Genomic DNA, 14636 nt, shown 5'->3' on the forward strand with positions numbered 1-14636 from the left:
AAACTTCTCTGAGAAAATCCCAAATAGAATGTAAAATAATGGGATAAAGGACATTGTTTTTCTATGTGACACAGTTAATGGCACCCAGTCCACAAATGCCAGTAGGAAACAAGCAGTACAAATGTGGTCTGATTCCCCACCATTCAAAGATGCTGTGTTCTCCTTGGACTGCGCAGAAGCAGTCTTCCCACTTGCCTGCCACTAGTTCCTGACAGCAGTCTTGTTACAAACAATAAGAGTCCCTGTAAGGCTAAATGTGGTCCTTATTAATTGATTGCGTTACATCCAAAGCACGCAAGAGAAGCACTGGTTCTGTTGATGCAGTAAGTTCAGAGTGGGGTCTGGCTCGCTAATGGTAGGTTCACAAAGTGACTGTGGGCCCTAGGGAACCTGGGCTGTGCTGTGCTGTGGGACTGTGGGTCCTCAGCAGGTACTGGAGATTCTTTCTCCCACACATGTTTTAGATCTGACTTGACTTTTTCCCACCATTCCTACTCCCATCTTTGCCATGGTTTCCAGTTGTCACTTGCTACATTAGTTTTGTACCATTATTGTACAAAGATCACAGAGCAAAAAGGGGTGTGTGTGTATGTGAGAGAGAGAGAGAGAGAGAGAGAGAGAGAGAGAGAGATTGAGATTGAGATTTCTCCTTCAGAAAAATGTATTACTGGGCTGGGCGCAGTAGCTCATGCCTATAATCCCAGCACTTTGGGAGGCTGAGGTGGAAGGATTGCTTGAGACCAGCCCAGGCAACAAAGAGACCCCAGGTGTGGTGGCTTATGCCCATGGTTGCAGCTACTCAGGAGGCAGAGGCAGGAGGATCACTTGAGCCCAGGAGTTGGCAGCTGCTGTGAGCTAAGGTCATGCCACTGCATTCCAGCCTGGGTGACAGAGTGAGACCCTGTCTCAAAAAAGAAAATGTATATTGCTAGATCACTGAATGTTTGTTTTCCTATCTCTTTCCCCATTCCTTCCCTCAAAGCCCAGTAATGAGGACTAAATAAGTTTTATTGTTATAATGGAAGGATACTGAGTTTCCAGTTAATTTTGGAAATTATGTATGTAGGATACACAAGTCTTACATACTCATATATTTCATTCAACAAGTACTTATTGAGTGTATCGATTGAATCAGACACAGTCCCTGACTTCACAGGGCTTACACTTCAGTGGCAGAAGCAGAAGATGAGCAAATCATCTGCAAATAAAGAGTTTCCACTGCAGTGAATGCTGCGAAGAAAATGAACCTTCATAGGAGAGCTGAAAAGAGAGAGGCAATCAAACTGGGGGCCTAGCACAGGTGCTCTGTTGTTGTGGGGGATACCCCTGGCAAAAGGTCTGGGAAACTGAGTCACTAATGTAAGGCAAATTGCTATTTGCTCTGAGATTGGCCTGGTGGGGGGGCAGGGAGGTTAAGAGGGGGATAAGAAAATGGAGCGAGTCCATATCTTTCTTCAAAACAGGGTTTTGCAAATCTGGGAAAGATGGGAGACCATTTGGAATCAATTTAGCATTTAGAGAAGAGGCAAGTGTGCAAAAGAAGAGTGAGTTGGCCTGGAGTGAAGAAGCAGAGAGGAGATGGGAAGGAAGAATGTGCCTTGGTCCTGGCCAGCAAGGCCTGGGAGCCACGTAACACAGGAGATGCTGGTGGCAGTCAGCGCTTTGGGAAGCTTCCAGGAGATTGGCAAATTGTGAAGCCAAACAGGTGGACTTGGGGCTGTGACAGGAGAGGACTGACCTCCTTTGGGCCGGAGGACTCACTTGGTCTTAGATGGAGGGTGGAAATTAAGAGGGAATGAGAGAACTGGCAAGAACTGCTGTATGCCAAAGTCAGGGCCTACAAAGGGGCCAGTGGACAGGCTGAAGCATGACAACAGCCAGGGCCTGGAGGAATGGCTTCATGCTCTAGATATGAGCCAGCACAGTAATGTGAGACTCCATGTGGGACCAGTCTCCACAGCACACTGCGTGAGCCCTGCTATTCCTTCCCATGGCCAAGGAGCTCAGATCTGCACTGAAGCAGTGTGTGCAACAGGCTGGAGAATAGAAAGCAAGAGGGAGACTGAAATCCACATCCAGTCTCTGATGATGGCTGTCTTCAGGATTGTAGCAGTGGTGATGAGAAAAGCTGCCTGTTTCTTGGAGATGCCTCTGGGGCTTGCTGGTTTCATCATGAGAGCTAGGATATGACCCTGAAGCTATGAAGGAAGATTCTTAATTTTTCTTTTTTCAGGGCAAGCAAATGCCTTTTACAACTGGGCATAACTTAGAGTTACCTCTTGTCCTGTATCATTAGACAGGGTGATCCTCAATTTCATAGCCAGGTTGTGAGGACGATCTCATTGCTCAGCATCATTTCAATGCCATTTTATTATTATTTTTGACCTCTAAGTCTTCATATCAAATTATCTACTTGTGAATTAAGTGCTAATTTCAAGTATCAGATATTTTATGAACTTAGTTTTTGCTTTTGTTAATATTTTACCAGAGATGATAATTTACTTTTTAAATAGGAAACATCGAAGGTTTGCATCTTTCGCAAATAAGATTTTACTTAACTTGAACTTACCAAGGGATATTTTTTTAAAACAGCTTTTGCAGTAAAATTGACACGCAAGAAACAGCACATAAGTTTTGGCGTATGTGTACAACAGTGAAACCCTGACCACAATGGAGATAATGTGCATATCCATCACCCCAAAAATCTTCTGCTGCCTCTTTGTGATTATTGCTGCCCTTCCCCATCCCTAAGCAACCACTGATCTGCTTCTTCATTGTAGATTCATTTGCATGTGTGTTTTTAGCATTTTATATAAGTGTAATCAGGCAGTATATACTCTTTGAGGGGAGTTGACTTCTTTCAGTTAGTATAATTGTTTTGATATTCCTTCATGTTGTTGTGTGTTTCAATTTCTTTTGATTGAGTAGTATTCCATTGTGTACATAAACCATAATTTATCTGTTTACCTGTTGATAGACACTTGGGTTGTCTTTGTATGTACATGTGCTTTCATTTCTCTTGGGTAAATATAGTCATTCGTCACTTAATGATGGGGCTATGTTCTGAGAAAAGCAGTGTTGGGCAATTTTGCTATACAAAAATAATAAGGGACTATTCTGAACAATTATATTCCAATAACTTTGACAACTTAGATGAAATGGAAGAATTTCTTGAAAGACAAAAACTACCAAAACTCACAGAAGATGAAATAATCTGTATGAATTAATATAAGATAAACAAAGATAGAGACATTGAATTTGTAGTTGTAAACTTTCCCATGAAGAAAGCTCCAGTCCCAGATGTCCTCCTAGGCTATATGGTATAGCCTGTTACTCCTAGACTGCAAACCTTGCAGCGTGTAACTGTACCAAATACTGTAGGCAGTTGTAACACAGTGAGAAGTATTTCCGTATCTAAACATAGAAAAGGTATGGTAAAAATACAGTATTAAAGAGAAAAAAATGGTACATCTATGTGGGGTACTCACCATGAATGGAGCTTACAGAATTGAAAGCATGAACATTACTGTTCATGCCTAGGACATTACTGTACATCACTGTAGACTTTATAAACACTGTGTACTGAGGCTACACTAACGTTATTAAAAAAGAAAAGTAGTTGTGCTACAATGTTATGATGGCTATAACATCACTAGGTGATAGTACATTTTCAGCTTCATTGTAATCTATGGAACCACTATCTTGTAGAACATTGTTGACTGAAATGTTAAGTAGTGCATGGTTGTTACTAAAAGTAGAATTGCCAAGTTTTATGGCAGGTGGATGTTTAGCTTTTAAGAAATTGCCTGTCTTCCACAATGGCTGTACATGAGTAATGCTCATAAAATGAGGGGAAACATACTCCTTCCTCTTTAGCTTTCTAGAAGAGGCTGCGTAGAATTAGTACTAGCTCTTCCTTAAATATTTCATAGAATTCACCATGAGGACATCTAAGACTGGAGCTTTCTTCAAGGGAAAGTTTAAAACCACAAATTCAATGCCTCTAATAGATATTTATCTTATATTCTTATCAGATCATCCATTTCCTCTTGAGTGAGTTTTAGTAGATTTGTCTTTCAAGAAATTCTTCCATTTCATCTAAGTTGTCAAAGTTATTGGAATGTAATTGTTCAGAATAGTCCCTTATTATTTTTTTTAGTATCTGTAAAATCTGCAGTGATCGTATTTCTCATTCTTAATATTGGTAATTTGTGTCTTCTCTCTCTTCTTTCCAATCAGTCTGGCTAGAGATTTATCAATTTTTTTTTGACCACAAAGAACCAGTTTTTGGTTTCATTTAATTTTTATACTGTTTTTCTGTTTGTTTTATTTTCTTGCTTCTGCTCACTTTGTGTAAAATTTGCTCTTTTTTTCAGTTAGGAGATGAGGTCATTGATTTGAGACTTTTTATCTTTTCTAATATAGGCATTCAGTGTTACAAATTTTCCTCTAAGTATTGCTTTTGCTGCATTCCACAAAGTTTAATATGTTGTGTTTTTATCTTCTCTTAATATGCTTCTTAAGTTCTCTGTCAATTTTTAAAAAGTCTTTACCCCATGGGTTATTTTAAAGTATTTATTTAGCTTATAAGTATTTGTGGATATTCCAACTATCTTTCTGTTACTGATTTCTAATTTAATAAAATTGCGGTCAGAGAACATATGTTGTATGACTTGGATACTTTTAAATTTATTGATATTTGTTTTACAGCCCAGAATAGGATCAACTGTGGCAAATATACTGTGTAAACTTGAAAAGAATATGTATCCTGATGTTTTGGGGTAAAATGTTCTGTAGATGTCTATTTGGTTGATGGTATTGTTCTAGTATTCCGTATCCTTAGTGCTTGTCTGTCTTGTTCTGTTACTGAGAGAGTAATAAACTGCATTCTATAATTTTGATTTTTAAAAATATGTTGCTGTTCTATTAGTTTTCCCTCGTATCTTGAAGCTCTTTTATTAGGTGCATAAATATTTACAATTGTTATATCCTACTGATGGCTTGACTCCTTTCATTTGAAATGACCTTTATACCTGGTAACATACTTGATTCTTAGGTCTACTTTATCTGGTATTAATATAGCCTCAGCTTTAAAAAAAATAGTATTAATATGGTATATCTTTTTTATTATTTGAACATAAATTAGGTTTTATGTTTCTTGTAGGCAATATAGTGTTGAATCTTTTTTTTAATCCAGTCTGATAATCTCTACCTTTTAATTGGAGTGTTTAAACCATTTAATGTGATTATTGATTTGTTTGAGTTTATATTTTTTATTTGTTCCACCTTTTTATTCTTTCTTCCTTTTGGGGGGTTGCATATTCTTGATTAGTTCATTTTCTCTCTTTTGTTGCCTTATTAGCAATAAGTGTATTATTTTAGTGATTGCATTGGGGTTTATAGTATACATTTTAATTTATCATAGTCTACCTTTAAGTGATAGTATGTATTTCATGCATAGCATAACAACCCTGCAACAACACACTTTCATTTTTTTTCTTCCAGCCTTTATGCTACGGTGATCATGGATTTTACCTTTAAAATGTTGTAAACTCCACAATACATTGTTATTATGTCTGCTGTAAACAATTGATTATCTTTTAAATATATTTAAATAATAAAATAAGGCTTATATTTACCTGTGTCATTATCTTTTCTAATTCTTTTTTATTTTTGTGTAAATCAAGATGGCCATGTGGTATTATTTATCTTCTGCCAACATTTCTTTTAGTGCAGGTCTAGATAATGAATTATTCCTGTTTTTATATGTCTGGAAAAAATATTTCACCTTAATTTTTGAAAGACAGTTATTGCTAGGTAAAGAATTATAAGTTGATAGCGTTTTTTTTTCTTTCAGTACTCTAAAGATGTTGCACCACTTTGTTCTACTTTACATTGTTTTTGATGATAAATCTTCTGTTTTTATTTTTATACCTCTGCATGTAACATATCATTTTTTTCCTTTGGCTGCTTTTAAGGTTAACTCTGTCATTGGTTTTTAGCAGTTTGATTTTGATATGCCTTGGTGTAGTTTTTTCATGTTTCTTACGCTTGGGACTTGAGATTCTTGAATCTGTGTGTTTACAGTTTTCATCAAATTGCGAAAAATCTTAGTGCTTATTTCTTTAAAAATGTTTGGTACTTTTTACCTCCCCTTTCTTTTGATAACTCTAATAGCATGTATATTGGGTCATTTGAAGTTTCCACAAAGTTCACTGGTGGTCTGTTGATTTTTTTCATTTTGCTTCATTTTGAATGTGTTTCATTTTGAATAATTATGTTGCTGTGTCTTCAAGTTCGCTAATTATTTTTCTTCTGTGGTGACAATCTACTGTTTCAAGTGGTCTCTTTCTTAATACCTTTCATATTTTAACATGTTAAATATTTTCTCTAGCTTCTTGAATATGTGGACTATAGTCATAACTGTTTTATCATTCTCCCCAACTAATTCTATCATCTGTGTCATTTCTGGATTGGTTTCAAATAATTTACTTTTTTTCTTCTGATTATGGCTTGTATTTTTGTACTTCTTTGCATGCTTGGTCATTTCTTATTGGATGTCATATTTTGTAAATTTTATCTTGCTGGGTGCTGGATGTGTTTGTGTTCTTATAAATATTTTTGAGCTTTGTTCTGGGATGGGCTTAACTCAGAAACAGTTTGATCCTTGCAGGTCTTGCATAATTAGCTTTGTTAGGCAGGACCAGAGCTATGTTTAGTCCAATATATTTCCACTACTGAGGCAAGACACTTGTTAAAACTTTAACCAGTTCCCTCTGAATTATGAAGTTTTTCTCTGTAACTGTTGGGAACAGGCAGTACTCTCTGCCTTATATAATTTCCAGACACTGTTTGCTCTAATTCATTTGGATAGTTCTTTCACTGGCCACAGATTACTTTTTACATGCATATGCTGAACAATCCTCACCTAGTTACTTGAGGGAAACCTTCTGCAGATGTACAGAGGTCTCTCTCTCTCTGTATAGACCCTTTCTGGTATGTTACCCTGCCAGTGTTATCCCCATTGGCCTCTCTAGACTCCCAGCTTTGTCTCCTCTACTCAGGGAGACTTCCAGGCTCTGCCTGGGTTTTCCCTTTATGCACCACAGCCTGCAAATGTTCTCCAATCAGTAAGCTAGGGCAATCATGAGGAACACCTCCTTTGCTTTTCATCTCTCAGGAATCACTGGCCTTCACCATCTGATGGCCAGTTTCTTCAGTGCTGCTGTTTCATAGATTTTTTCTGGTTTTTAGTTGTTTCAGGTACAGGTAAATCTGGTTCCTGTTACTCCAAATGGACTGAAAATGGAAGTCCAAGAGCTTTCCTTTTTTCACCACTGAAATAGACTCCAGTTAGATGTAGAAAGTTGGATGAGTTCAGTGTGCCAACTTTTACTTTATGGGAAACTTTTATTAGAAAAGCTAATTTCTGTAAAGAGAGACAAAAGAAAAAAGCAACACGAAAGTGATAGGTTTCATTGTCCATAAATTTGTCCACTTGCTACAACATGTGTTTTTGTGGCATTGCTCATATCACTGAAGTAGACAACAAAATTCAGTCAGTGTGTATTGATGGCACTCAGACACAGTTGCTGTGGGGGAAGGAGGAGAAGCAGGCGACAGGGACTGCTTCTGATGTGTTCCCAAAGGCAACAAGGGAGTAAGCCGTGCCAGAAACAATGTTCATTCACAAAACAGTGAAGGAACGAACCAATCATTTGTGACGATGTGCCGAAAGGACACATCCAGGAGTCTGGAGAAATAAAGAGCAGTGTCCACTGTGGTCATCAAGGGAGGTGTCTTGAAGAACTTGGGTAGAGAGGAAGTGAGATACCACTAGGCAAAGGAACTAGACTTCTTTGGGAAGCAAGATGGTGAGTGGCTTGATTGGCATGGAGGCCATCTTAGGGGACATTTTAGGGGACAGTGGTATATGAGTTTTGCTAATAGGTCATATTGTAAGATAACTTTAATTGCTTCAACATTTCAGATTTTATTGGAGTCCGCCAATGAAGTGCCAACTTCCTCAGACAGAAATAGAGAAAATATTTTCAAAACCCATCCTGTTTCAGTCAGCTTTTAACTACATAAGAAACCACCAAAACATGGTGGTTTAAAACAACAACCATGCATTTACCTCATGATCTTATGGGTTGGTAATTTTGGCCAGGCTCACCTTGAAAAATTACTCTGGTCTGAGCCGGGTTAACTTGTGTTTGCAGTCAGCCGGTCGTTGATCATCTCATTTGATATCTAGCAATTGTCTGGCTATCAGCTGACTTGATGGGGCAGCTTGGCACCATGCCTCACGGCCCAGCCACCTCGCCCAGACTTGTTCAAATGGCAGTGGTGTAGGGTTCCCAAGGGCAACATGGGAGCAAGCCCCGGCGTGCAGATACTTTTCAAGCCTCTGCTTGAATCGAATCATATTTCTGATTGCTACATTGGCCAAAGCCAATCACACGTTCAGCCTAGATTGAAGGGGATGGAGAGAGACTGCTTTTTCTTTAAAGGAGTTGCTGCAATATTCTGTGTCTATTTTTATAAGAAACTGTGCGTCTGCTAAAGATTTATTGTGCAATAAACAAATAGAAGAGTGACCCGCTGACTGTTGAGTTTAAAGTTACTCACTTTGTTCAAAAAGTAATTGCAGGCTATCTGGCAGACTTAAATTATATTTTGAATGGTTCTTAAGTGTTTTAAAAGTGAAACTAGTGTACTTCCTCTTTTTTTAATCCTTTTCTTCTGGGCTTAGTGCAACTGAAAAATCTAGTATATTTTAATCTCTCCTATTTGTCTTAGCCTTATCTTTATAAAGATTTCCTGTTTTATGTTTAGTCTATTTGCAGGTAATTAGATAAACAAAGTGCCAACTCATCATCGAAAAAGAAAGACTGTCATTGACAGAAAATCTCCCCCTCAGCTTTTGATCATCTGTCTGTGTTGTCTTTGCTCAGCCTGGGCAGTGGGTTTGTTCTGTTAAGAGCCAAGAGACATTCCAAACTACCTAAGATGGAGATTGGGCTAGTTGTCTTGTATCGTTCTTCTGGCAAATCACTTTTCTGTTAAAAAGGCAAGAAGTCAGAAAAAGGAGAGGTTACTGTTTATGCATTAAAAAACCCCATTGTGTTATGGAACAAATGAACTGTTTATTTCCGAATCTAAGAAGTTATTCTCATGATCAAGTATGTAATTTTGGTTCTTTCTGAAACCAGCCCTTTTATTATTCAAGTTTGTATAATGGAAATAATGTTGAATTCCTATGAGAAAAAACAATGTAAGCCATTTACTTTACCTCTCCCTCTCAAAAAAAGTGGGAACCTGAGTAAAGTATTCCTAATCACCACTTAGTAGGTTTTCTGGGTCCCTGACAGTAGTGAACACTCCCAGAGAGCAGGCAGAGGGAGAGGCACAAAGAAATGGCTGGAGACTATGGGTGAACTTAGCCTGGGATCTGGACAGGGGTTCCTCGATCTGTCCTCCACACTCAGCGGGAAGGAGGGAACTGCAGGGCATTCCTGAAGCTAACCCAAGGTCAGGTGGGGAGTGAGTAGCCACAGCTGCCTTAGGACCCCTTTCTTCTGTTGCATCCTGCTCCCTTTCCATTCCATTGCTTCACGGACAGAAATCCCTCTCTGAGATACATATGTCAGAGGGATATATATTAAATATTAGTTTAACACATATATGAGGGATATGTATATCCCTCTGATATATATATTTTGGTTCTTTCTGAAACAAATTCTTTTATTATTCAAGTTTGGATAATGGAAATGCTGAATTCCTATGAGAAAAACAATGTAAGTCATTTACTTTACCTCTCCACCTCACATATGTGTTAAACTAATATTTGGATCTAAAATTTCAGTCTGCCATTGATTTCCACTGTGATTTCAGAGTATATTTTCAAAAGGAAGGAAAGTCAAAAATTCTGATACTGGGTTTAGGGAACTTTCTATTGCTTCTGTGCTGAAATCTGAACAATGAGCCCTGAGTTTTGGTGACACTGAAGCCTTGGCTTTCAAGTTCACCTGACTTACGATGCACCTGTGTTTTCTGTCACAGCCTCAGTGCAGTGACAGCCTCATGACTAGAAAACAGTGCTGAGGGTTGAATCCACATTTATATACCAGGGGATGCAGATCCTCTTCCACCCTCAATTTTGTGACAGGCTTGAGGCCCTTCTTTTAAAAATTTATTTTTATTTTTTTGAGAGACAGGGTCTTGCTCTGTCACCCAGGCTGGAATGCAGTGGCGTGATCATAGCTCACTGTGGCCTTGAACTCCTGGCCTTGAGCAGTCTTCTTGTTTCAGCCTCCCATGGCTCTTCCTGTTCACTGGTGAAGCTGCTTGTCAATTTTGATGCATTTATTCAGCAACTAGGTGTCTGGTTGGACTTTAAATTCCCTTTGTGGTTCTTCTTGCATTCTTAAAATGGAGGTCAGTAAAACTTTTTCTAGTTTCAGTGACTTGCTAAGTGAGAGCTGAAGTTCCTGGAACCCCTGTCACTTGGCTAGGAGAATATGAATACAAATAACGCTAACTGAGACAGTGAGGGGAGCATCTTGGGGCAGCTCCGAGACTTCACATGAAGACAAACATGTAAAGCTGTCACATGCAAGCACGTGCCCCTGGGAGTAAGTTCTGGGATAAGATGTCACAAACTCTTATGCAAAGAAGAGGAAGACTTGAGAATACTCTATGATGCACACTGCTCTGGATTTGACTCTTCCAGTAACATTTTTTTCCTCAAAAAATTGAACTTGAAATGTACTGTTACTTCTGGGGATTTTTGAATGCCAATACTACTTTTTGTTGTCCTGTATTTCCTTTCCCTGGAATCTTAGGGCCCTTTGAGCTCAGTGTCTTCCCAGCGATGGGAGGCTAGGGAAGAACTGCCGTGATTGTCAGCACACTGGGTTGTCAGCCATAGGACAGGCCTCCTGCACACCTAGGGAAGGCTGGCTAATCATGTCCCCACCCTCCATGGCCACCTCCGTGCACCAGAAATCAGGGTAAGCTGGGTGTCCCTGGCCATGCAAGTTCTTAGCTGTGTCCTCTGATGCTCTGCCACTCACATGTCTCAGTCCCTTTCCACGTGGTCTCCTCTGTTCCTTTGCTTCCTGCTGCCACCCCCTTTCTCTCTTCATACAGTTGGCATCTTTTTTTTTTTCTCCCTACAACTTTGGCTCCTTCTCTATTTTATCCTCTCACACTTTGGTCTCATACAGGGCCACCAAGGGCCTCCCCACCTCCAGGCCCTTTTGCTTTTGCTTCTCTCAAATGCACAATCTCTCTCCCAGTGCACAGCCCTGAGACATGACTATGATTAACTCAGCCTTCTGTGCCAGGAGCCTCCTATGCCACTGGATAGCCTGCCTTTTGATGGGGTGCCTTTGGGGCAGGCACCCACCCTGCATTCACTCAGCTGTTGCCAGTGGGAAGGGTCTAGTGCAAAAAACTCCTCTGTAGGTCCTTATCATACCTTAGAGAATAGGCTGGGGGTCTGGGAGCACGGAGACTAGCATATACATATTATTCTGACTTCATGCATCCTGTTTATTCAATCATTAGTTGATTCATCAGACAGTGAGGCTCTTCTATGTGCCAGGGTAGAGATGAATGAGAAAATAGGATCTGACCCCAAAACGTAAGCTGCTAAGAAGACATTATTTGGCTCCTAAAATCATTCTCCTGTATAAACTACCCTATTTTTGGTTGTGTTTCTGAATTCTAGAACTGGATCTAACTATTGATGTTCAGTTAGCTTGGGGTTTCAAAGATATTTGATATACAAGTTAATTATCCACCTAAGAAGGACTTTTATTTATTTAAGAGAAATAGAATGGCTTTAAAATATATATTCAGGACTTACAGAAAATTTTAGATAAATCTAGAAAGTTATAGAGCAATAAAGAGTATCAGATATAACATTGAAACCCTTATCCCTTTGATTTCCCTTCTTCCCCAGAGATGATCACTACACTGAATTTGGTGTTTGTTATTCTCAGATATGGTTTTGTTTTTATGAAATGTACATGTATCACTAGCTTGTAGATTTGCCATACATGTATTTAAACTTCATAGAAATGATAGAATATGGTTTCTTTTCTTCAGTCTACTTTTCACTATCTATATATTTTGCTTTGGGGAATTACCTATGTTCATATCATTCTAGTTATTAATTTTCACAGATGTAGAGTATTCCTTTCTAAAAACAAACTATATTTTGTTTATTTGTAGGTATTTGTATAATTCTAATTAACCACTAGCAAGCAATAAAAACACTGCAACATATAGAATTATTTACCATACATGTCTATCTTCTTTATGCATGCAAAAGTTACTTTCTAGATAAACGTAGAAGTGGAATTGCTAGGTTTTAGGATATATACATCTTCAAATGTATTAAGTGTTTTTTTTTCCAAAATGATTATATTAATTTCGACTTCTAGAAGCAGTGTATGAGTTATTCTGTGCCAATGGGTTAGTGTCATCAGACATTAATTTTTGTCAATCCATAATCTGATAGGTGTGAAACAGTATATCACTGTGGGTTTTGCTTGCATTCCTTTTCCCTGATTTCTAGTGAAGATGAGCATCACTCATATCTGTATTGGCCATTTAAAATGCTCATTACCCTTTGCCCATTTTCCTCTGGGTAGTTTGTCTTTTGCTTACTGATTTGAAGGGGTTCTTTTTGTACAATGTATACTAATCCTTTGTAGTTTATATATGTTACAAGTAGTTTCTCCCAGGTTGTTGCTCTTCTTTATTCTTATGTAGTCTTTCAATGTGCACAAATTTTAAATTTTAATATATGCAAATTTATCAAATCTTTCCTTTTTGGTTGCTCTTTGGTCTAAAAAAACTTCCATATCTTGAGATCTCAATGTTGTAAAGTTTTGTCTTTTACATTTTTCACTTAAACTATCTAGAATTTATTTTTATATTTGGTATAAGGTGGGACTAGTTGTATTTTTTTTTTTTTTAGATGGAGTTTTGCTTCTGTTGCCCAGGCTGGAGTGCAGTGGTGCAATCTATGCTCACTGCAACCTCCACCTCCCAGGTTCAAGTGATCCTTCTGCCTCAGCCAGTAGCTGGGATTACAGGCATGCGCCACCATGCCCAGCTAATTTTGTATTTTTAGTAGAGACAGGCTTCTCCACGTTGGTCAGGCTGGTCTCAAACTCCTGACCGCAGGTGATCCCGCCTCAGCCTCCCAAAGTGCTGGGATTACAGACATGAGCCACCATGCCCAGCCTGTATTTTGTTTTATATGGCTAAAAGTTGTCTCAGCACCATTTGTTAAACAGTCCATCACTTCCCCACAGATGTGTAATAACACATTTGACATGAATCAGGATTCTATCTGTGTATGAGTCTGTGTCATGGCTCACTGTCTCACTCCATTCGTCCATGTTTTCATTTGTGCACCAAGACCACTTTGACGGGCAATCATTGTGGTTTCAGAATGGGCTTCATATTGAATGTGGCCAGTGCTCTGCTTTGTTCTTACTCAAAATTGTCTTGGTTATCCTTAAAACCTCAGGTCCTGTGTAAAAATTTTGGACTCAGCTCATAAAATTTCATGAAAAATCCTTTTGGGATATTGATTTGAAATTGTATTAATTGGAAAAAAAGAATTGGCATCCTGACTGCATTGATTTTTTTCAATACATAAATGTGATATAGCTTTCATTTGGGTCTTTTAATAAGGTTTTATAAAGGTCTTTCATATTATTAGTTAAGTAATTTCATAGTTAGCTTATGATTAACTTGGTAAATTGTTGCTAATGTAAAAATGTAATTGCTATTTCTATGTTTTATATATAGAAACTTTGCTAGACTCTTAATAAAATAACATAGGTTTTCTTGGATTATCTTTATAGATGGTCAGATTATCTGTAAATAGTGATGTTGTATTTCTTTCCTTCCCTTATGCTTTTTACTTTTCTTAGTATTCTGGCTTGGACCACCAGAATAATGTCAAATATAAGCAATGATGGAAACATCCTTATATTATTTTTAACAGTAAACTGTTCTTAATATTTCAGCATTAAGAATGATACTGGCCAGGTATAGTGGCTCATGCCTGTAATCCCAGCACTTTGGGAGGCCAAGGCAGGATTGCTTCAGCCCAAGAGTTCGAGACCAGCTTGAGCAACATGGCAAAACCCCAACTCTACAAAAAACACAAAAATTAAATGGGCATGATGGTGCATGCCTGTGGTCCCAGCTATTCAGGAGGCTGAGGTGGGAGAATCACTTGAGCTCGGGAGGTCAAGGATTCAGTGAGCCATGATCATTCTGGCCTGAGTGACAATGAGACCCTGTCTCAAAAAAAAAAAAAAAAAAAAAAAAGAAGAAAGAAAGAAAGAAAGAAAAAAAGATACTTACTCTAGTTTTTAAAATTTTCCTTGCCAAATACCCACTGTCAGATTAAGAAAGTTTTCTTCTATTACTAAGCATAGTAAAGGGTTTTTTTTTTTAAACAAATGGTTGTTGAATTTAAAGCTTTTTCTGCATTTGCAGAGGTAGCCATGGTTTTTCTCCAATAAACTATTAACGTGGTAAATTGTATTCATTTATACTGTCATCTTACATTACCCTTACATTTGTTGGGCAAACCCAAT

The 14636-nt window shown here is 38.3% G+C and overlaps 1 protein-coding gene across 45 annotated transcripts in view, besides 1 other annotated feature; it reads left to right on the forward strand.

The window, feature by feature from the left end:
* The window catches only part of FHOD3 (formin homology 2 domain containing 3), a 482508-nt gene that overhangs the window by 366472 nt on the left and 101400 nt on the right, over window positions 1-14636 (forward strand). The gene's annotated exons all lie outside the window — the stretch shown is intronic.
* Window positions 10108-10334: a silencer, noted in NCBI's record as "fragment chr18:34254255-34254481 (GRCh37/hg19 assembly coordinates)". NCBI's record gives its function as "represses an EF-1alpha promoter that drives an FKBP-Casp9 reporter gene in an ReSE screen in K562 erythroleukemia cells {active_cell/tissue: K562}" and the evidence as "EXISTENCE:reporter gene assay evidence [ECO:0000049][PMID:32094911]".

This window comes from Homo sapiens, chromosome 18 (genome assembly GCF_000001405.40).
Source record: "Homo sapiens chromosome 18, GRCh38.p14 Primary Assembly".
NCBI classification, from domain to species: domain Eukaryota; kingdom Metazoa; phylum Chordata; class Mammalia; order Primates; family Hominidae; genus Homo; species Homo sapiens.